Below are 20,658 nucleotides of genomic sequence, written 5' to 3'. Positions count from 1 at the left end.
AGGTCCAGGAGTTTGAGACCAGCCTGGCCAAATGGCAAAACCCCATCTCTACTACAAATACAAAAATTTGCTGGGCGTGGTGGTGGGCGCCTGTAATCCCAGATACTCAGGAGGCTGAGGCAGGGAGAATAGCTTGAACTCAGGAGGCAGAGATTGCAGTGAGCCAAGATCGCACCATTGCACTCCAGCCTGGGCAGCTGAGCAAGACTGTGTCTCAAAAAACAAATACAAAAAAATTAGCCGGGCATGGTGGCCTGCACCTGTAATCCCAGCTACTTGAGAGGCTGAGGCAGAATCGTTTGAACCCGGGAAGCGGAGGTTGCAGTGAGCGGAGATGGCGCCACTGCACTCCAGCCTGGGCAACAGAACAGGACTCTATCTCAAAAAAAAAAAAAAAAAAAAAAAGCAGAGTTACTGGGCTGCTATGACAGAGCAGAGATTCTACTCACTGTGTAGGACTATCTTCCTTGTGTGTATCCTCTATTGGCCAGCAGCCTGAAATAAGGGGTGACTGTCATCCCAAACTGAAGCCCTAACAATATCTTATGAGGACATAAAAAGGGCTCTAAACTTAGAATCAGAAAACAGGCAGCAATTCCCAGCTTTTCTTATTATCAGCTCTGTGTACTGGAAAGCAAGCCACTTCACCTTTTCGGGTTTGCTTCCTCATCTGTACAATGGGGATATTTGCCTCACAGGGTTGTTGGGAGGATGAAGTAAATATATATATGAAAATGTTGGCTGGGCGTGGTGGCTCATGCCTGTAATCCCAGCACTTTGGGAGGCGAAGGCAGGCGGATCACCTGAGGTCAGGAGTTCAAAACCAGCCTGGCCGACATGGTGAAACCCCATCTCTACAAAAATACAAAAATTAGCCAGGCATGATGACGGGTGCCTGTAATCCCAGCTACTCAGGAGGCTGAGGCAAGAGAATCGCCTGAACCTGGGAGGCAGAGGTTGCAGTGAGCTGAGATCGTGCCACTGCACTCCAGCCTGGGCGACAGAGCAAGACTCTGTCTCAAAAAAAAGAAAGTGGCCGGCGCAGTGGCTCACACCAGTGATCCCAACATTTTGGGAGGCCGAGATGTGCAGATCACCTGAGGTCAGGAGTTCAAGACCAGCCTGCCCAACATGGCGAAACCCCATCTCTACTAAAAATACAAAAAAATTAACCGAGTGTGGTGGCAGGTGCCTGTAATCCCAGTTACTTGGAAGGCTGAGGCAGGAGAATCGCTTGAACGCAGGAGGCAGAGGTTGCAGGGAGCCGAGATCGTACCACTGCACTCCATCCTGGGCAAAAAGAGCAAAACTCCATCTCAAAAACAAAAAAAAAGAAAGAAAGAAAGTATTTTATAGGCTGGGCACGTCTGTAATCCCCGCACTTGGTGAGGCCAAGGCGGGTGAATCGCTTGAGCTCAGGAGTTCGAAACTAGCCTGGGTAACATGGCAAAACCCTCTCTCTCCAAAAAATACAAAAATTAGCTGGGCACAGTGGCACATGCCATTAGTCCTAGCTACTCAAGAGGCTGAGGAGGGAGGATGACTTGAACCCAGGAGGTGGAAGCTGCAGTGAGCTGAGATCATGCCACTGCACTCCAGTCTGGGTGACAGAGTCAGACCCTGTCTCAAATGTAAAAAAAAAAAAAAAAAAAGTGTTTTATAAACTACAACATCATACATACGCAAAGTATGCTTATCACAGTAAAGCAAACATTTTTCATTTCCGCCTACTATTGATGGTACTATAAAACCATAAGCACATGTTAGTACCTCCAATGTGCCTCCACTGGCTGAAATTTTCTGTTTGTATTGCTTTCAATCTATATTATAACATCTTCCTTTTTTTTTTTTGAGGCAGAGTCTTACTCTGTCGCCCAGGCTGGAGGATAGTGGCACAATTACAGCTCACTCCAGCCTCTATCTCTGGAGTTCAGGCAATCGTCCCGCCTCGATCTCCTAACTGGGAGACTGGTAGCTCAGATGTGGTCCATAACTTCTAGGTGTGTGTCACCTTGCCCAGCTAATTTTTATTTAATTTTTTTGTAGAGACAAGCTCTCACCATGTCGCCCCAGGCTAGTCTTAAACTCCTGGGGTCAAGCAACCCTCCCACCTCAGCCTCCCAAAGTGCTGTGATTACAGGCATGAGCCACTGCACCTGGCCAACCAACAACTTCCTTTCTTTTTTTTGTTTAAAGACAGAGTCAAGTTTCACTCTGTTGCCCAGGTTGGAGTGCAGTGGTGAGATCTCGGCTCACTGCAACCTTTGCCTCCCGGATTCAAGCGATTCTCCTGCCTCAGCCTTCCAAGTAGCTGGGACTACAGGCGTGCACCACCACATCCAGCTAATTTTTGTATTTTTAGTAGAGATAGGGTTTCGCCATGTTAGCCAAGCTGGTCTGAAACTCCTGACCTCAGGTGATCTGCCTGCCTCAGCCTCCCAAAGTGCTGGGATTACAGGCGTGAGCCACCGCGCCTGGCCTCAACAACTTCCTCCTAACTTCTCAACACTGCTCACAAAATGTCATCAATTTTTAACAGCTACTGCTAAATTTAAAGTGCCTCAGTGTTTTTTGTTTTTTGTTTTTGAGACGCAGTTTCACTCTTGTTGCCTGGGCTGGAGTGCAATGGCACGATCTCGGCTCACCACAACCTCCGCCTCCCAGGTTCAAGTGGTTCTCCTGCCTCAGCCTCCTAAGTAGCTGAGATTACAGGCATGTGCCACCACACCCAGCTAATTTTGTACTTTTAGTAGAGATGGGGTTTCTCCATGTTGATCAGGCTGGTCTCAAACTTCCGACATCAGGTGATCCGCCCGCCTCAGCCTCCTAAGGTGCTGGGATTACAGGCGTGAGCCACAGTGCCTGGCCTTCAGTTTTCCTTTTTATCTGATATCAACTTTTATCTTTAACCTAACTACAGTTACTTTTCATGCTTTTATTTTTTGCAGTCTGCTATTTTGTCACTTGCATGAAAGAATAATTGCATTTGGCCAGGCGTGGTGGCTCACACCTGTAATCCTAGCACTTTGGGAGGCTGAGGAGGGGGGATCACCTGAGGTCAAGAGTTCAAGAGCAGCCTGGCCAACATGGCGAAACCCTGTCTCTACTAAAAATACAAAAATTAGCCAGGTGCGGTGGCACATACCTGTAATCCCAGCTACTTGGGAAGCTAAGGCAGGAGAATCACTTGAACCCAGGAGGCAGAGGTTGCAGTGAGCTGAGATCATGCCATTGCACTCCAGCCTGGGCTACAGAGTGAGACGCCATCTCCAAAAAAAAAAAAAAAAAAAAAAAAGAATTGATGTAGGCTTTGATAACCTTCCTAACACCCAGCCTTCAGTAGGGATTTCTATGCAGTCTAATCACCCATAAAAACTAATTTGATTGGGAGGCCAACGCAGAAGGATCACTTGAGCCCAAGAGTTTGAGACCAGCCTGCGCAACATAGTGGGACCCCTGCCTCTACAAAAAATATAAAAATTAGCCAGGCAAGGTCATGCATGCCTGTACTCCCAGCTACTCAAGAAGCTGAGGTGAAAGGATTGCTCGAGCCTGAGAGGTCAAGGCTACAGTGAGCTATGATCATGCCACTGTACTTACTCTAGCATGGGTGACAGAGAGAGACTCTGTCTCAAAACAAAAAAAAATTAAAAATTTAAAAAAAATCTTAAAAAAACTAATTCAAAGTAATTTAGGTAGTATACTCAAGTTATTTTACTACCAAGATCCAGGAGGGTGGCCAGGCATCATGGCTCACGCCTGTAATCCCAGCACTTTGGGAAGCAGAGGCAGGTGGATCACAAGGTCACGAGTTCAAGATCAGACTGACCAACATGGTAAAACCCTGACTCTACTAAAAATACAAAAACTAGCCAGGCGTGGTGGCACGCGCCTGTAATCCCAGCTGCTCAGGAGGCTGAGGCAGGAGAATCACTTGAACCCGGGAGGCAGAGGTTGCAGTGAGCTGAGATCACACCACTGCACTCCAGCCTGGGCGACAGAGCAAGACTCCGTCTCAAAAACAAAACAACAACAACAAAAAAGATCCAGGAGGGTAACTAAATAAATTGGCACAATTCTGTAACTTCTAGGTAAATAACTCAGAACATACAGCTCCAGACACTTCAGAATTAGTACAGTATTAGACTGAGCAGAAAACGGATACAGATAATTTTATAGTCACTGAATTCTAACTCCTGAATAAAGTTTGCTCAAATAATCGTTATTTCCTGTATATGGTGACACTGAGCTCAGATGGGTCTCCAAAAGGCCAACCAGGCAGCAAAATTCACAATATCCTAGTGTTAAATCCATTACCCATTCCCAGGCCAGGCGCAGTGGTTCATGCCTATAATCCCAGCATTTTGGGAGGCCAAGATGGGCAGATCACTTGAGGTCAGAAGTTCAAGACCAGCCTGGCCAACATGGAGAAATTTTGTACTAAAAATACAAAAATTAGCCAGGCATGGTGGCGCACCTATAGTCCCAGTTACTTGTGAGGCTGAGGCAGGAGAATAGCTTGAACCGAGGAGGTTGAGGTTGAGGCAGTGAGCCAAGATCGTGCCATTGCACTCCAGCCTGGGTGACAGAGCAAGACTCCATCTCCAATCAATCAATCAAGTCATTACCCATTCCCAGCAGGTGGTGGCTTATCAGTAGTTAGTTGTCTAGATACCCTGTGGCCCAAACCAACTAATCACTTCTTTACATATGAAGACAAAGCACTCAGAGCAGTAAATGGCCTGCAGAAGATCAGACAATACCAATGAAGAACTGTCACATTTACTCCCAAATGAAATGTTTGCAAGACCCAAAAAAGCAAGTAATAGCCCTCCAGCCTCAAAATTATGAACAAATGAATAAGCAACACATTCTCACAACAAAGTGTTGCCTTTAGCAACCTGGAAAAACAAAAGCAGAGATACTGCTTCAGCCAGGATCAGAGGCAGCCATGAAGTCAGAACTCTCATCACACCACTAGTTCCACAGTGAATGATTTCCTGTTATTTCATAAGCAAAGGTTATTCATTTGTTCACTCAACAAACATTTGCCAAGTAGCTACACTGTGCCAGAAATGGTCAGGTGCTGGGATATAAACAAGACAAGCTCCTGCCTTGAAGTAGGTAATAAACTAGGTATGGGAAACACAAAAAAAACACCAAAACATGGTAAAAAGGAATTTGAGGAAAAAATATATAAATAATTTTTTTTAAAAATACCAAAACTTAGCAGGACAGTATGATTATAAAAGCTTGCACAGACTCCAATGTCATACAGAAGAGAGGCATTCTGCTTAACCTGGAGGCAATCAAGGAAGGCTTTTATTAAGAGAAGGTGGTGCCCGAACTCCTGGTTCAAGCCTTAGAGTCGGCCAAGCTGTAGAATAGAGAGCAAAATATCACAGAAGGAATAGCTAAGAATGCTGGGACCTTCAAGGAGTTCACTATAACTGAGCCTCACGTGCCAGAGTAAATGTGGCAGAGGAAAAACTAGAAAGGAAGATAAAGAAGGGGCCAGGTCATAAAGGTCCTTATGAGATGCTGAAGCAGAGACAGGCCAGGGTCTAGATGTTAGAGACCAGAGGTGTATTATTTACTCTTTTTTTTTTTTTTTTTTTGAGATGGAGTTTCGCTCTTGTTGCCTAGGCTGGAGTGCACTAGCACAACCTCTGCTCACCGCAACCTCCGCCTCCTAGGTTCAAGCAATTCTCCTACCTCAGCCTCCCGAGTAGCTGGGATTACAGGCATGCGCCACTATGCCTGGCTAATTTTGTATTTTTAGTAGAGACAGGGTTTCTCCATGTTGGTCAGGCTGGTCTCGAACTCCCAACCTCAGGTGATCCGCCCGCCTTGGCCTGCCAAAGTGCTGGCATTACAGGCGTGAGCCACCGCGCCTGGCCATTACTTACTCTTATCTGGAATTAAAGACCAGCAGAATGGAGGGGGCATTTGACTACAGCAAGACTGCAAGAAATTAGAGACCAGTTATTTCAAGTCACTTCTGGCCTCTACTTATTTTTCTCTTGAATATTAGTGGGACTTTTTTTTTTTCCTGTCTTATTGGGAAAAAATAAAACTGAAAGTTCTATAACTAAGTCTGTTCATCAAAAACATGCCTGAACAGAGTGCTAGATTTTACCAAAGTAGCCCCAATTAAAGAAAATGACAAATCTCTCCTGCATCTGGAGAATTCCTGGCAAAAACACCAAAGCCAGGTCTCTGGTGCCAGCAGAAGAATGCCAGAGAAATGTCCTGATCAGGGGCCATATAGAACACAATGCTGCCTGGTATACTTTAGTGTTCTATCAATGGGAGAGCCCGCTGTTTCCAAACAAGAACATGCCAAACAGTTACCTCCTGGCTTCCCCATACAAACTGTCAGGAAAAAACCTTCTACTGCCAGGAATGACCTTGGACTTTATAGTGTGGACTCCTGCCTACCGGCACTGAATAAAGACAACCTTGGCCAGGCGCGGTGGCTCACACCTGTAACCCCAGCACTTTGGGAGGCCAAGACGGGCGGATCACGAGGTCAGTAGATCGAGACCATCCTGGCTAACACGATGAAACCCCATCTCTACTAAAAATACAAAAAATTAGCCGGGTGTGGTGGCAGGCGCCTGTAGTCCCAGCTACTCGGGAGGCCTGTAATCCCAGGGAGGCTGAGGCGGGAGAATGGCGTGAACCTGGGAGGTGGAGCTTGCAGTGAGCCGAGATCGCACCACTGCACTCCAGACTGGGCAACAGAGCAAGACTCCGTCTCAAAAAAAAAAAAAAGACAACCTCAAAATTTCCTCACCTGTCCAGAGTGCCAACAGGTGCAGACAGCTGCCTTCCTCACCAGACAAGGAAACTTGAATCCTGCACAGCACCACAGTACCCAGCCACATTCCTACTATTAATACTACTGAGATTAGAGGTCCTATATAATAATACACATTAACTACTACTGACAACCAGCACTGACCACCCTCAAAGCTTGAGGCCCTCATCTCCAGTCCTCGATGCAATCTGCAAAGAAGGCTGTATTAGGCCCATTTTACAGATGGAAAAACAAAACCAAACCAAAGCTCAGAGAGGTTAACAGCTTATCAAGGGTCAAAAATTGAGCAAGAAAAAGTGGGAAGACTCCAAAAACCAAGCTCTTCCCATTGTACCAGACATTTCTTCTCTCAGACTTTTTCTAAAGAAATAGAAAACTCTAAGCCTTATTTCCAAGAGTTTCTGAAGTTGATCCATTTAACTAAGAGGTGGCCAAAAACATTTATTTAAGCAATCACCTTGCCTTTAAGGCAACAAATAAACAAGTTTTTATTTTCTTTGATCAAGTGAATAGTCCAGATGGAAAATGAGAGCTATTTTGAAGAATTCATTTATTATTTAAATACCTTGATTTTACATTTCTTCATTTATTTTTGCCCAAGATATATACACAGAGAGATAGACAGCAAAAGGCAGAATTTCATTTTAATAGATCAGAATGAAGAGTAACAAAGCAAAAAACATTCAGATTTACATTATATTTTATGCAGTAAAAATTAAGAAGCAAATGACTTTCAAACAGACTGAGCCTTACCTCAATCTTACTCCTCCTGTTCCAAGGGACAGCACTCCAAGTGATCAGCAGACACTCCCAGCCTACATACAGTGAACCAGACATAGGGGATAAGCAACGCCTTCATGCTCCCAAAACCACAGTGGGAAGGAGTGTGATGGCTTCCTGGGGAATCTGAACACATATAGTATTTGTAAATCACTGCTCGTTGAGACATACACCAAAACAAAATGTTTTACCTGTGGTTTGTCTACAGGAGTACTTAAAATTAACAGGTGTATAAAATAGTGCAAAAATAATCCCATACCAGCATGAACTCACAGTGATAGCTAAACTTTTTCCATGGAGATGTTAAGATAATTAACTGTCACCAGTCAAAATTAATACATTATAAAAACTTTATTCAATGTCTTTACTGATTAAAAGCTTGATATACCTGAATCACTTCTTTCTTCATAGACCTATAACCACCTCTAAACCAGGAACTACCACTAACAAAATGTTAAAAAATATCATCAGCATTTTTGAGGTGCCCAAAGCAGTGCCTGGCAAAATGCAATAAATGTTCGTTTATGAAAGAATGAATGGAGAAAGAGAAAGAATACTACTTTTTTTTTTTTTTTTTTTTTTTGAGTCAGAGTCTCGCTTTGTCGCTGAGGCTGGAGTGCAGTGGCACGATCTCGGCTCATTGTAACCTCTGCCTCCCAGATTCAAGTGATTCTTGTCCCTCTGCCTCCAGAGTAGCTGGGACTACAGGCACATGCCACCCCACCGGCTAATTTTTGTAGTTTTAGTAGAGACAGGGTTTCGCCATGCAGGCTCAATCTCCTGACCTCATGTGATATGCCCGCCTCGACCTCCCAAAGTGTTGGGATTACAGGCGTTAGCCACCACACCCAGCCAAGAAAGAAAGAATACCATTGAAGAAAAATAATTATTTAAAGCTTAAGGAAAAAGATAATGTTTACAATAATGAGAACTATCAGTACAACTACAAACAGAATTACCTAACATTGCACTTGAAAGTTTATACTAGACTCCAGTTAGGCTATATTTCCTACCACTCTAAACTCAGAAGGTACAATGATTCTGATACTGTTTTTGTTCATGTAGGGTTCCCTTTAAACCTCACCTACAGACAACACACCAACTTTTGCCTGAATAATACATACAGAGCTCCGGCCCACAGCTGCAGGCCTCAGAGTTGGAGTTTGCGTACTGTCTTTCAATGATATAGATTGTCACAGGGAGACAGTGTACAGGCCAAATTCATTGAAGATGGATAATACTTCTAGTGAAGACAATGTCCTGTGAGAGTAAACAAGGATGCTGAAATGAGAGTCACTAAGATTTAATAGATTCAACGAACTCACTTCATGGCAGTAAGAGAAGATGAAATTTCATGGATTTAAGGATGGAAAGACCATTTAACAACATAAATGTTAGAGTTTTCTTATCCTTCTTTAGTGTTGCACACATTAAACAATGGTACACAAATTAGTGAAAAGAAGCTTTTAAATTTAGATTTATAAGAATTGGACTGAAAACGCCTGGAACTTACATGTATGATGAAGTCTAAGTTTGTCTATCATTTCAAATAGCCACAGTGCTGAAAAGAAAGTATGAGTCACAATTCAAAAACAACGGAGGAAAGAAAAAAATGAACAGAGAAAAGCTTTGGATCCAAATACCACAAAGAAATTCCTTACTTAAAATGTTGTCAATGACAGTCACCACTCTGACTTGGAGTAAGAAAGGTCCACACTGTCCTCTACGTGGGAACAAACTCATCCAGCCCCACATAACCCTTCCAGTTGCATCCACCTCAATGTTCAGCCACCAATATAGTCAGCCACAATCCCTAGCAAGCAACAGGAATCCTAACAGATCTGAGTCACCCACTCCCACGCAGTAAGAGGTCACTCTCCATCAGGAAGCCCACTCTGCAAAGTTTCCTTGTTCATCTCCCAGGCTGCCACCACCATGACCCACATAAAGCTGATTCTCCAATCTCAGTAGCCTATCAACCCTCCTCTACACTCCCCAAACCACAACTCCCACCGGCCTCACCCTAACGACAAGACAGCTAGCACTACTCACCGTGTGCCACTACTCACTCCTGTGATAAGTTCCTTGCCTGAAAACCACTCCTCGTCAGGGTGCATCAGGGCCCCGGAGGATCCAGCTCTCTGCTTAACTCTCTTGTGCCCAGCTGAGCTCCTGCCTTTCCAGGAACTAATCACCAGTTACCTCAGGGAAGCTAAACTCTCAATGCCTCTTCTGCCCCAGCCCGACCCCAGTCTGCCAAATTCCCAGACCTCAGGAGAGGGGGTCGGGGAGACGCATCCAGATGCGCCTTAGGGATTAGACACACAGAAGCCCCTAAAATTCCAAATACTTTCCCAACCCCACACCGCGCTCTGGTCATCCTCCGGGGCGCCAGCATCCAGAGCCAAAAGCGCAGAGGGGCAACAGTTAAGTCTCCGTGTCCCTACGACTCCCTTCCCCGGCTACGAAATCCTCAAATATCAAGCCACTGAGGCCCCGGGTCGAGGCCCAAGACCCCCGCCAAGCCTCCGGCCACTGGAGTTTCCCGGGTGGGGGACCCCGTGCCCCGAAGGCCCGGGCCGCTGGGTCCATCTAGCTGCCCCGAGCCACTGCATGGCAGGGGCCCAGGCCGCGTCTCCAGTCGGTCCCCATTGTTGCGGGACCCGGCGGCCCCGGCCGGGAGCGAGGAACCGGCACCGGCGTCTCACCTCCTGCGCCGCGGCTCCGGGCCGCGCCGGACCGCGCAGGGCCGAGGGACCTCACGTTCAGCTTCGCCCGCCTAGGCAAAGTCTGCGGCGGCGGAGGCGGGGGCGGCGGCTGAGGCGGGAAGCAGCCGGCCAGGCCCGGGCGCCGCGGGCTGGCTCTGGCCAAGCGTCGGTCTCCACCGGCGGCGGCGCTCGCCAGCCTCCGCTCACGGTCCGCGCCAGAAAGCGTCCCCCTCCCGGCCCGCGCGCCCGACCGCACGGACGGGAACACGCGCCGCGGAGAGGAAAGTTCCGCTGAGAGCCGACTGAAGGCCGTTCCCCTGCGCCGGGTGTACGGCGATTCCTGCCTGGATGGGACCGTTTCTGGAATGAATGCCGCACAGAAATCCCAAGCCAGAAGCTGCCTGAGAATGGTTCTAGGGGTGGGTCCAACGGAATGGTTTTGCACTCGCCAGCCATTTAGCATCTCAATTGAGCCTCAGTTTCTCCTCATTTCTCATTGGGAATAATCTAGGCGGCTTGTTAGGATTGAATGAGGTGATGCGAATACCTAGCTCAGAGATAGGGAGCTCTACACCGGGGTACGATCGTTACTGATCCTGCCAATGCTGCTGCTACTGTTGCCTCCAACATAGGTTGTGCTCAGCCCTCAAGGGCCCTTGAAATTATGCGCATCATGTAACTCTTCTTTTTTCACCCTCGGTCCCCACCTACCATCCTGTTTCCTGTTAAGTGAAGCTGTCTTCAGAATTCCCTGGAAGAGAAGCAGAGGCAAAAGGGGGCTTTCTTGATTGCTGACACTCAGGTGGAGGTTAAGGGTGCAGGTTCTCCTTCCTCAAGTTGGGAATTACTGCCATGTGGCCATGTGGGCTCCAGTTACTGATGGGACTGTAACGGCTCTCTCCACTATAGCCTCAGGTTCTCTTCTCCTCTTCCCAATAAGTGAATGTTGACAAAATGATTTTTTTTTTTTTGAGAAGGAGTTTCGCTCTTGTCGCCCAGGCTGGAGTGCAGTGGCGGGATCTTGGCTCACTGCAACCTCCGCCTCCTGGGTTCAAGCTATTCTCCCGCCTCAGCCTCCCGAGTAGCTGGGATTACAGGCGCCCGCCACCACGCCCCGCTAATTTTTTGCATTTTTAGTAGAGACAGGGTTTCGCCATATTGGGCAGGCGGGTCTCGAACTCCTGACCTCAGGTGATCCTGCCCACCTCTGCCTCCCAAAGTGCTGGGCCACCAGGCGTGAGCCACCACCTCTGGCCGACAAAGTGATGTTTTAAATTACAAAAGTGCATCTTTCTTTGAAGGCTTTGTATTTTACTCATAAAATCAAGAGGATAGCAATTCCTTTCTCGTCCCCACTTTCCTTTTCTTCTAGGCCTTCACACCTCTAAGATACCAGATGCGGTTATTTTTGGAGCTAACTCTTGATGGGAATTTAGATCTGCAGAAGGTGTTCCAAAAAAAATCCTAATTTTCAGGTGTTCTCAAATTTCCCATTTTTACATACCCCCTTGGCTTCTGAGACACATATATGCCTGATTTTTCATTTATATTATTTTCTGGAGGTAATGAAAGGGTTCTGCCTGTCAAAAGGCACTTTGCTATCTAATATGGATCTGTGTCCCCACCCAAATCTCATGTTGAATTGTAATCCCCAATGTTGGAGGTGGGGTCTGGTGGGAAGTAATGGGATCATGGGGGTAGATCCTTCATGAATGGCTTAGCACTGTCCCTTTGGTTCTCTTCTTGTGAGTTCTCACAAGATCTGGTTGTTTAAAAGTGTATGGTGTCGGCTAGGCGCGGTGGCTCATACCTATAATCCCAGCACTTTGGGAGGCCGAGGCAAGTGGATCACCTGAGGTTAGGAGTTTGAGACTAGCCTGGCCAAAATGGCAAAACCCTGTCTCTACTAAAAATGCAAAAATTAGCCAGGCATGATGGTGTGTGTCTGCAATCCCAGCTACTCGGGAGGCTGAGGCAGGAGAATCACTTGAACCCAGGAGGTGGAGATTGCAGTGAGCTGAGATTGTGCCACTGCACTCCAGCCTGGGCAACAGTGAGGCTGTCTTAAAAAAAAAAAGTGTATGGCACCTCCCCCCACTTCTCTTTTCCTCCTACTCCAGCCTTGTGAGGTGCTCGCTCCCCCTTCGCCTTCCACCATGAATGTAAGTTTTCTGAGTCCTCCCCTGAAGCCCAGCAGATGCCAGCATCATGCTTTCTGTACAGCCATGAGCCAATTAAACCTCTTCTTTATAAATTATCCAGTGCCAGGCATTTATTTATAGCAGTGTGAGAACAGACTAATAGAGTGTTCCTTCTGGAAACAGCAGGCTCATGGGTTAGAAAGCAGCACAGTCAAAGCCTCTGGAAGCTTCTCCGCTTCCTCAGGTAAGAGGAACTTCATCCTAGGTTCTTCAGAGGCAAAGAATGCCTCAAAAGCTGGTTCCAGCCAAGTGCAGTGGCACATTTCTGTAGTCCCAGCTTCTCAGAAGGCTGAGGCAGGAGGCTCACTTGAGCCCAGGAAGTCAAGTTCAGCTTGGGCAATATAGCAAGACACTATCTCTTAAAAAAATAAATAAAAATTTTAAAAAGCTAGTTAACTTCTCTCCAGCAGCCTGAGGTCAGATCAGCATTCCGACCCCTCCCAGCTTCATGTCTTGCATTTTACTCATTTGGCCTCTTAGCTGGGACTCTCCGGGTGACACATAGAGCATATTTGGCCTCAGGAGTTGAAACAGGTTCACATGAAAGCCCCAGAGACTACCAAAGAGAGGAGAAAGAAACCAGTCAGGTTGGCCAGATATATTTAAACGCACACACACACACACACACACACACACACACACACTCCTATTGTTAATCCCCCCACCCCCATCCCCTGGCCCCCAATTAAAAGACTTAAGGCACAACCACCAAAACATAGACACTTACCTTTCTCATGTCACTAAAGTAGGAGCCACAAAGGCCAGAGCTAGCTCCCCTGGTGATGGAAGCCTCTTCCATTCCCTCCTCCCAGGATGGCATTGTCCTTCTGTAACATCTGTTTCCCCACCCTTCTAGAAATTCCCTGACTACTTGGATGATGTCATGCCCGCACAACAACCTCTGAGATTCATGGTACCCCAAAATTCACCTGTAGAAAGATTTGGTTCTATTAGGGGAAGTCCCTAGAGTGATTTATGCATACACCTGCCTATTGTTGGCTATACCTTTAAGTGAGTTTAAAAGATCTGGGACTGCCCTTCTGGGATTAGGCAAAATTCACCAGGGACTTGTTGGTTAATCAGAAACCAGAACAAGGTTTTCTTCATCACCATGAAAACACACATGGAAAAACACTCTCTTCATTTTTTTTTTTTTTTTTTTTTTTGAGATGGAGTCTTGCTCTGTCACCCAGGCTGGAGTGCAGTGTCGTGATCTCGGCTCACTGCATCCTCCACCTCCCAGGTTCAAGCCACCCTCTTCATTTTATCTGTTTCACCTCCTGCTTATTCCGTGAGAGTTAGATCAATCCTGCACCCACCAGCCACACTTAATGGCCCCCCCTCACTTCTGAATGCCAAAGCCATGATCACTCTGAACCAGATTCCAAGGTGACAAAGGGTTGTATTGCTTTCTTCAACAGTCATCCCATTCTTGGGATATTTTTACCTTTTCTGCTTGTATACCACTCATCACCCAGATTATAATGTCCTAGGAGATTTTTTAAAAATCGACCCCAGTATCTAATGACGGCCTAGCATAATTGCTACGCCATAAAATTCCCCATTCAGCAACTATTTACTGGGTACCAATATGTACCAGGCACTGGCCAGGCACGGTGGCTCATGCCTGTAATCCCAGCACTTTGGGAGGCCAAGGCGGGCGGATCATGAGGTCAGGAGATCAAGACCATCCTGGCTAACATGGTGAAATCCCGTCTCTACTAAAAATACAAGAATTAGCCAGGCGTGGTGGCGGGCGCCTGTAGTCCCAGCTACTCAGGAGGCTGAGGCAGGAGAATGGCGTGAACCCAGGAGGCAGAACTTGCAGTGAGCCGAGATGACGCCATTGCACTCCAGCCTGGGTGACAGTGCGAGACTCCGTCTCAAAAATAAATAAATAAATAAATAAATAAATAAAAGATGTACCAGGCACTGTACCCAATGCTGGGGAATACTAGTAAGACATGACAGGCATGACCATAAGCATTTTACAGTTATTAACTCATTTAATCCTCACATCAACATTCCACTTCAAAGGTGGAAAAATAAGCTGAGAAGTCAGAAGAGCGATGGGGTTTGAGTGCAGATCATCTAGGTCCAGAGCCCATGCTTATAACCATCCCCAACATGAATGAGGAAGTATGTTCAGAGTTGAGCCTAGAAGAGTGTGGTCTGTAGAATGTGACTAATAGAAACCTATCCTATATGGATGTTCATTCAAATGAACAGATGTTTATTGTTCCCCAGTTGTATTTCAGATGCTGATATGCCCTGGGGAACACAGCACTAAACAGGAGGGAACAGGTCTCTGCCCTCAAGTAGCTTACCTTCTAAACAGGTGAGAAAGACAGTACAAAATAATTGCAAATTCTAATAAGTTCTGAAAACACGAAACAGAGACCAGTATGGGAGAGAGGCTGTTGGAAGAGGGAAGGCATTGGGTAAGACCAACCCAATGAGGTGTCCTGTGAGCTGAATCCTGAATGCCAAGAATGCTAACGAGAACCATGTAAAGTCTCAGGGAAGAAGAATTCTAGGCAGAGGGACCAGAACTTGGGGGCAACATGGTGTGTAGGTGTAGTGAGAAGCCCCAGATAACTGCCCTGTGAAAGATTCTCCCCAGGGCCTGAAAGCTTGAAGGGATGAGTAACTCCTCCCTTCTCAGGCCCAGTCCCAAGGCAAAAGGCCACTTGCGCTAGCAGTGTGCGTCAGCAAGATAGCAGAAGCAGGAAGAGAGCCGGCCGGAAGACACCTACCCAGGCCGGAAGACACCTCCCCTGGCCGGAAGACACGTAACTCTGAAGATCGAGAAAAAGGCCACCCAGGTACCACGTAGCAGTTACGTCAGACTGGGACACTTCCTGTTTACAGGAGACTATAAAACCCCTGCCCCATCCTCACTTGGGGCTGATGCCATTTTAGGCCTCAGCCCGCCTGCACCCAGGCGCTCATTAAAACAGTGTGTTGCTCCACACCGCCTCGTGTTGTCCATTGGCGTGCTCTCGGGGTTTGAACCGATACAAGAACTTTCATCTGGTGCCGAAACCTGGGGCAGGGGTTTTCCGCTCCTCCTAGGCACCACCTCCCAAAAAGCTGAACTCATTGCTGTCACTCAAGCTCTCACTCTAGCAGCCAGACAACAAATTAACATATATTTGGATTCTCGTTATGCGTTCCATGAAGTACACTCACACTCGTCTATCTGGAAAGAACGAGGTTTCCTAACTGCAAAAAACACTCGTGTCATAAATGGCTCTCTCATCAGCAAGCTCCTTCAAGCTGCCAGTCTCCCACAGAAAGTTGCCATCATTCATTGCAGGGGCCACCAAATCCCAGACAATTCTATATCGGCCGGAAATGCTTTAGCAGATCAGGTAGCCAAACAAGTAGCCCTATAACCCATGCAAGGCCAGTTTCTGTCCCTGTCCTTGTTCTCTCCTCTTTCCTCCTCAGAAGAAAAGGAGGACTTCCAGGCCCAGAACCTCCAAAAGCAAGGACCACGGTATGTCAAGGAAGGGCACTTCGTTCTTCCTCACTCTCAAACAATTCCTATCCTCCAAAGTCTCCACAACTCTTTTCATGTCGGTTACAAACCTCTCTTACAACTTCTCCGCCCTATTCTCACTTGTGCTCACCTTTCCAGCCATGTCTGAGAGATTACCCAGTCCTGCTCTATCTGCCACTCAGTGTCACACCCAGGTTCCCTCCAGCCACTGCCTTTTCCTACCCACCAAGCCCAGGGCCAGATACCCGGGCAAGATTGGCAAGTAGATTTCACTCACATGCTGCCCGATAAATGGCTCCGCTATCTTCTAGTCTTTGTACTTTCTCTGGGTGGGTAGAAGCATTCCCAACAACTTCAGAGGGTGCAAATATCATCACACAAACGCTCATCATGCCTATAATTCCCCGTTTTGGACTCCCAACATCCATCTAGTCCAAAAACAGGCCCTCCTTCATCACCTTATCTAAGGTGTCTCCACATCCTGAGGAATAAAGTGGGTTCTCCACATCCTGAGGAATAAAGTGAGTTCTCCACACACCCTACAGGGCTCAATCTTCAGGCAAAGTTTTATTTTATTTTATTTTTATTTTTGGAGATGGAGTCTTGCTCTGTCACCTAGGCTGGAGTGCAGTGGTGTGATCTTGGCTCACTGCAATCTCCGCCTCCCAGGTTCAACCGATTCTCCTGCCTCAGCCTCCTGAGTAGCTGGGACTACAGGCACCCGCCACCATGCCCAGCTAATTTTTGTATTTTTTTAGTAGAGACAGGGTTTCACCATGTTGGCCAGGATGGTCTCAATCTCTTAATCTCATGATCCGCCCGCCTCGGCCTCCCAAAGTGCTGGGATTATAGGCGTGAGCCACCATGCCTGGCCAAGGCAAAGTTGAAAAAGTCAACTCTGTCCTTAAAGCCCAACTCACCAAGCTAGCTCTAGAAACCCATCTGTCGTGGACAAGAAATCTCCCTTTTGCCATCATGAGACCGCAACACCAAAAGCACCCTCTTTTTATAGTCCTTTCGAAATCATGTATGGCCGAACTTTTGTCTTAGGGCCTCCATCCTCACCAGACTCTGAGCCACTCAGGAATTACCTCCCCTCCGTAATCCAGACACGGTCTTTCATCCATGAAGCAGCAAATGAGGCAATGCCTCTCCCTGTCGACACCTCCTTGTCCTCTCAACATAACTGTCTTGCAGGAACAGACGTGTTCATCTGCCAACCTGACCTTCACAAAAAGCTACGACCAAAGTGGACAGGCCCCTACACTGTGATACTCAGCACACCAGCTGCAGTGAGAGTCCAAAGATTCCCCAACTGGATCCATCGCACCAGGGTCAAGCTCATCCCCAAGGCTACGTCTTCCTCCAAAACATTAGCAGCTAAGTGGTCGTCAAGCACAATTTCTCCTACCAAGCTTAAATTAACCAAAAAACTTTCTTAAAACCAAAAACCCCCTAGAAAGTGTAAACATGGAGAAGACTAATTACCTGCTTCCAGAAATGGCCTGTATCTACCCAACCGCTTGCTGTGCCTCACTTCCAACCACAAGTCTTCTTTTTTTTTTTTTTTTTTTGAGATGGAGTCTCGCCCTGTTGCCCAGGCTGGAATGCAGTGATGCTAACTCGGCTCACTGCAACCTCCGCCTCCCAGGTTCAAGCAATTCTCCTTCCTCAGCCTCCCGAGTAGCTGGGATTACAGATGTGTGCCACCACTCCAGGCTAATTTTTTGTATCTTTAGTAGAGATGGAGTTTCACCATGTAGGCCAGCCTGGTCTGGAACTCCTGACCTCATGATCCACCCACCTCGGCCTCCCAAAGTGGTGAGATTACAGGTATGAGCCACTGTGCCTGGCCCCAACCAAAAGTCTTAATACGGAAATATCCCTCATCACAGTCTTAATGCTGTCAGTAGACGCCCTGCTGTCCACAGCAGCCCTCCAAGCTGCCATGAGTGTTATCAGTCTTTCTACTATGGAGGAAAAATCCAACAGTCCTTTACTTACCATACCCATATAGAAAGATCCTGTTATGGAGTCTTAGTCAAAGAATGTGTTGAATCAGGGAAAAGTTATTATAAAGTAAAGCATCTAGGAGTATCTGGCAGTCGTAATGGGGCTATATGCCATTATGCCATAATGGGGCTATATGCCGCAAAGGGAAGCAGTGGCTTTGTTTCACCAAAACTGGACAACGCGGAGTAAACACTCAAGTGCTAGAGGACATAAAGAGAGAACAGATTATAGCCAAAGCAAAAGCTAAAGCCGACAGCTACCCCCCAAAACCACCCATAGTATTTCCACCCCTTTATAAAAAACTACCAGGAGATGTATCCCTTCCCAAGCCAGGAAAAAAACCTGTTTGTAGATCTAGGAGAACGCATCGCACTTACCATGAATGTGTCCAATTGCTGGGTATGCAGGGGAGCCCGTATGAGTGAACAGTGGCCGTGGTATGTCATAGACATTCCCCCTTACTTACTAATATCCCAAAACTACAGCCTCACTTTCACTCCTCAGGAATGCCCGCAGTCCTGAACACTTACCAACCCAGTAAGAGGGATGGTGTGCATATCCCACAAGTGGACTAGTAAAACCCGTTGCACCATAGGTGAAAGCACTTGTCACCAAACCCTAACAGTCAACACCTCCACAGCCAAGTGGTGGCCAAGGTTACCGCACAGAGCCTGGTCTCCCTCTAACTTAAGCTATCTCAATTGTGTTCCATCAAAAAGAGCCTGGAACTGTACAAATACCACTAACCCTTATGCCACATACTCCCGCCTAAGTGCACTATGGAACAATCCTACGAACACCAGCCTACAATGGATTGCCCCTGATGGATTCTTTTGGGTATGTGGAACCCAAGCTTACTCATGGCTACCTTATCACTGGCAAGGTACTTGCTTCCTAGGCACAATTAAACCTGACTACTGACTTCGCGAATGCACAAGGTGGGAGTGTAGTGAAAGGAAGAAGACTTGCTGAAGAAGTCCTTTTAAGGGTGAGGAGGACTCGGATTGAAGAATAGCATGACAAAAGGCATGGATGTAGGAAAGACAAGAGAGAGGTAGTCCTAGCTGGACTTGAGGGTTTGTCTGGGAAGGCCAGGATGTACCATCCCTAGTGATTCCCAACAGCTCAGTCAGTAGCCACTCTCAAGTCACTTTAGAGCCAAAGTTTTGGTGGCAGGGTCAGCTTTCATGATAAAAATACTCAGCAAACTAGTAAAGAAAGAAAGTTGGTCAGGCACACTGGCTTACACCTGTAATCCCAGCACTTTGGGAGGCCGAGGTGGGCAGATCACTTGATGTCAGGAGTTCAAGACCAGCCTGGCCAACACGGTGAAACCCCATCTCTACCAAAAATATAAAAAATTAGCTAGGCATGGTGGTGCACGCCAGTAATCCCAGCTACTCATGAGGCTGAGGCAGGAGAATCGCTTGAACCCGGGAGGTGGAGGTTGCAGTGAGCTGACATTGTGCCACTGCACTCTGGCCTGGGCAACAGAGCGAGACTCCCTCTCAGAAAAAAAAAAAAGAAAGAAAGAAAGTTATTTAATCTAAAAAGGGCATTTATATAAAACCCACAGCTAAATCATACTCAATGGTGAAATACTGAAACCTTTGTACCCTTTCTCCATAAGACCAGAATGTATTGCAAGTTCTAGCCAGAGCAATTAGGCAAGAAAAAAAAGGCATCTAAATTGGCCTTTTCATGAGAAAAGCACTCAACAAACTAGGAATAGAAGAAACATAATAAAGATTGTATATGAAAAATTCATAACTAATATCATGTTTAAGGATAAAACTTGAAACTGTTTCCTCTAAGATCAGAAACAAGACAAGGATGCCCACTTTTTTTTTTTTTTTTTTTTTGGAGACGAAGTCTCACTCTTGTTGCCCAGGCTGGAGTGCAATGGCACAATCTCAGCTCACTGCAACCTCCACCTCCCGGGTTCAAGTGATTCTCCTGCCTCAGCCTCCTGAGTAGCCGGGATTATAGGCGCCTGCCACCACGCCCAGCTAATTTTTGTATTTTCATTAGAGACAGGGCTTCCCTGGCCAGGATGGTCTTGAACTCCTGACCTCAGGTGATCCAGCCCACCTCGGACTCCCAAAGTGCTGGGATTACAGGCGTGAGCCACCACGCCCAGCCTAGATGCCCACTTTTGCTGCTTCTTTTTAACATAGTTCTGGAAATCCTAGCCAGAGCAATTAGGCAAGAAAAAGAAATATAACAAATCCAAATTGGAAAGGAAAAAGTAAAATTATCTCTATTTTCAGATGGCCAATGATTTTTTATTTATTTCTTTATTTATTAGAGACAGAGTCTCACTTTGTTGCCCAGGCTAGAGTGCAGTGATGCAATCATAGCTAAGTGCAGCCTGGGACTCCAGGAAACTCAAGCAGTCCTCTTGCCTCAGCCTCCAGAGTAGCTGGGACTATAGGTATATCAGGTTTTTTTTTTTTTGTTTTGTTTTTTTTGTAGAGAAAGGGTCTCACTATGTGCCCAGGCTGGTCTCAGAACTCCCAGCCTCAAGTGATATTCTTGCCTTGCCTCACCCTTCCAAAGTGCTGGGACTACAGGCATGAGCCACCACACCCAGCCAGCTGACATGATTTTATATGTAGAAAACCTACA

At 46.7% G+C, this 20,658-nt stretch overlaps 1 protein-coding gene and 1 long non-coding RNA gene across 8 annotated transcripts in view, besides 6 other annotated features; both read right to left on the bottom strand.

Moving 5' to 3' along the window:
• Positions 1-10,508, bottom strand: part of RAD54L2 (RAD54 like 2) — a 129,942-nt gene extending 119,434 nt beyond the window's left edge. For 3 of the 6 annotated variants that reach the window (NM_001322256.2, NM_001387867.1, NM_001387869.1), the window contains exon 1: positions 10,312-10,508. The gene's annotated coding sequence lies outside the window, so the exon portion shown is untranslated. Of the gene's footprint in view, positions 1-7,576; positions 7,639-9,116; positions 9,165-10,311 lie in introns of all 6 variants that reach the window. The other 3 variants (NM_001322253.2, NM_001387866.1, NM_015106.4) reach the window with 2 other exon arrangements.
• Positions 871-1,370: an enhancer, noted in NCBI's record as "H3K4me1 hESC enhancer chr3:51581873-51582372 (GRCh37/hg19 assembly coordinates)". NCBI's record gives its function as "activates a minimal SCP1, AML or CMV promoter by ChIP-STARR-seq in naive H9 embryonic stem cells {active_cell/tissue: H9 hESC(naive)}" and the evidence as "EXISTENCE:reporter gene assay evidence [ECO:0000049][PMID:30033119]".
• Positions 4,409-5,050: an enhancer, noted in NCBI's record as "NANOG hESC enhancer chr3:51578193-51578834 (GRCh37/hg19 assembly coordinates)". NCBI's record gives its function as "activates a minimal SCP1, AML or CMV promoter by ChIP-STARR-seq in primed H9 embryonic stem cells {active_cell/tissue: H9 hESC(primed)}" and the evidence as "EXISTENCE:reporter gene assay evidence [ECO:0000049][PMID:30033119]".
• Positions 9,532-9,621: an enhancer, noted in NCBI's record as "active region_19920". NCBI's record gives its function as "activates an Ori minimal core promoter by ATAC-STARR-seq in GM12878 lymphoblastoid cells {active_cell/tissue: GM12878}" and the evidence as "EXISTENCE:reporter gene assay evidence [ECO:0000049][PMID:35858748]".
• Positions 10,152-10,551: a silencer, noted in NCBI's record as "silent region_14415". NCBI's record gives its function as "represses an Ori minimal core promoter by ATAC-STARR-seq in GM12878 lymphoblastoid cells {active_cell/tissue: GM12878}" and the evidence as "EXISTENCE:reporter gene assay evidence [ECO:0000049][PMID:35858748]".
• Positions 10,152-10,734: a biological region, named in NCBI's record as "Sharpr-MPRA regulatory region 62".
• Positions 10,440-10,734: an enhancer, noted in NCBI's record as "tiled region #62; HepG2 Activating DNase unmatched - State 1:Tss, and K562 Activating DNase unmatched - State 1:Tss". NCBI's record gives its function as "activates a minimal TATA promoter and a strong SV40 promoter by Sharpr-MPRA in HepG2 and K562 cells {active_cell/tissue: HepG2 | K562}" and the evidence as "EXISTENCE:reporter gene assay evidence [ECO:0000049][PMID:27701403]".
• LOC105377085 (uncharacterized) overlaps positions 12,558-20,658 on the bottom strand; it is a 29,600-nt gene continuing 21,499 nt past the window's right edge. The window contains exons 1-3 of one of the 2 annotated variants that reach the window (XR_940836.3): positions 18,022-18,109; positions 13,240-13,441; positions 12,558-13,068 (exon numbers count right to left, since the gene is read on the bottom strand). This is a non-coding gene — a long non-coding RNA (uncharacterized LOC105377085). Of the gene's footprint in view, positions 13,069-13,239; positions 13,442-18,021; positions 18,110-20,658 lie in introns of those variants that run through there. The other variant, XR_940835.3, reaches the window with a different exon arrangement.

The sequence above is a fragment of the Homo sapiens genome, chromosome 3 (genome assembly GCF_000001405.40).
Source record: "Homo sapiens chromosome 3, GRCh38.p14 Primary Assembly".
Lineage (NCBI taxonomy): Eukaryota > Metazoa > Chordata > Mammalia > Primates > Hominidae > Homo > Homo sapiens.
The sequence above is the reverse complement of the archived record's forward strand: the minus strand, read 5'-3'. Positions and strand labels throughout refer to the sequence as shown.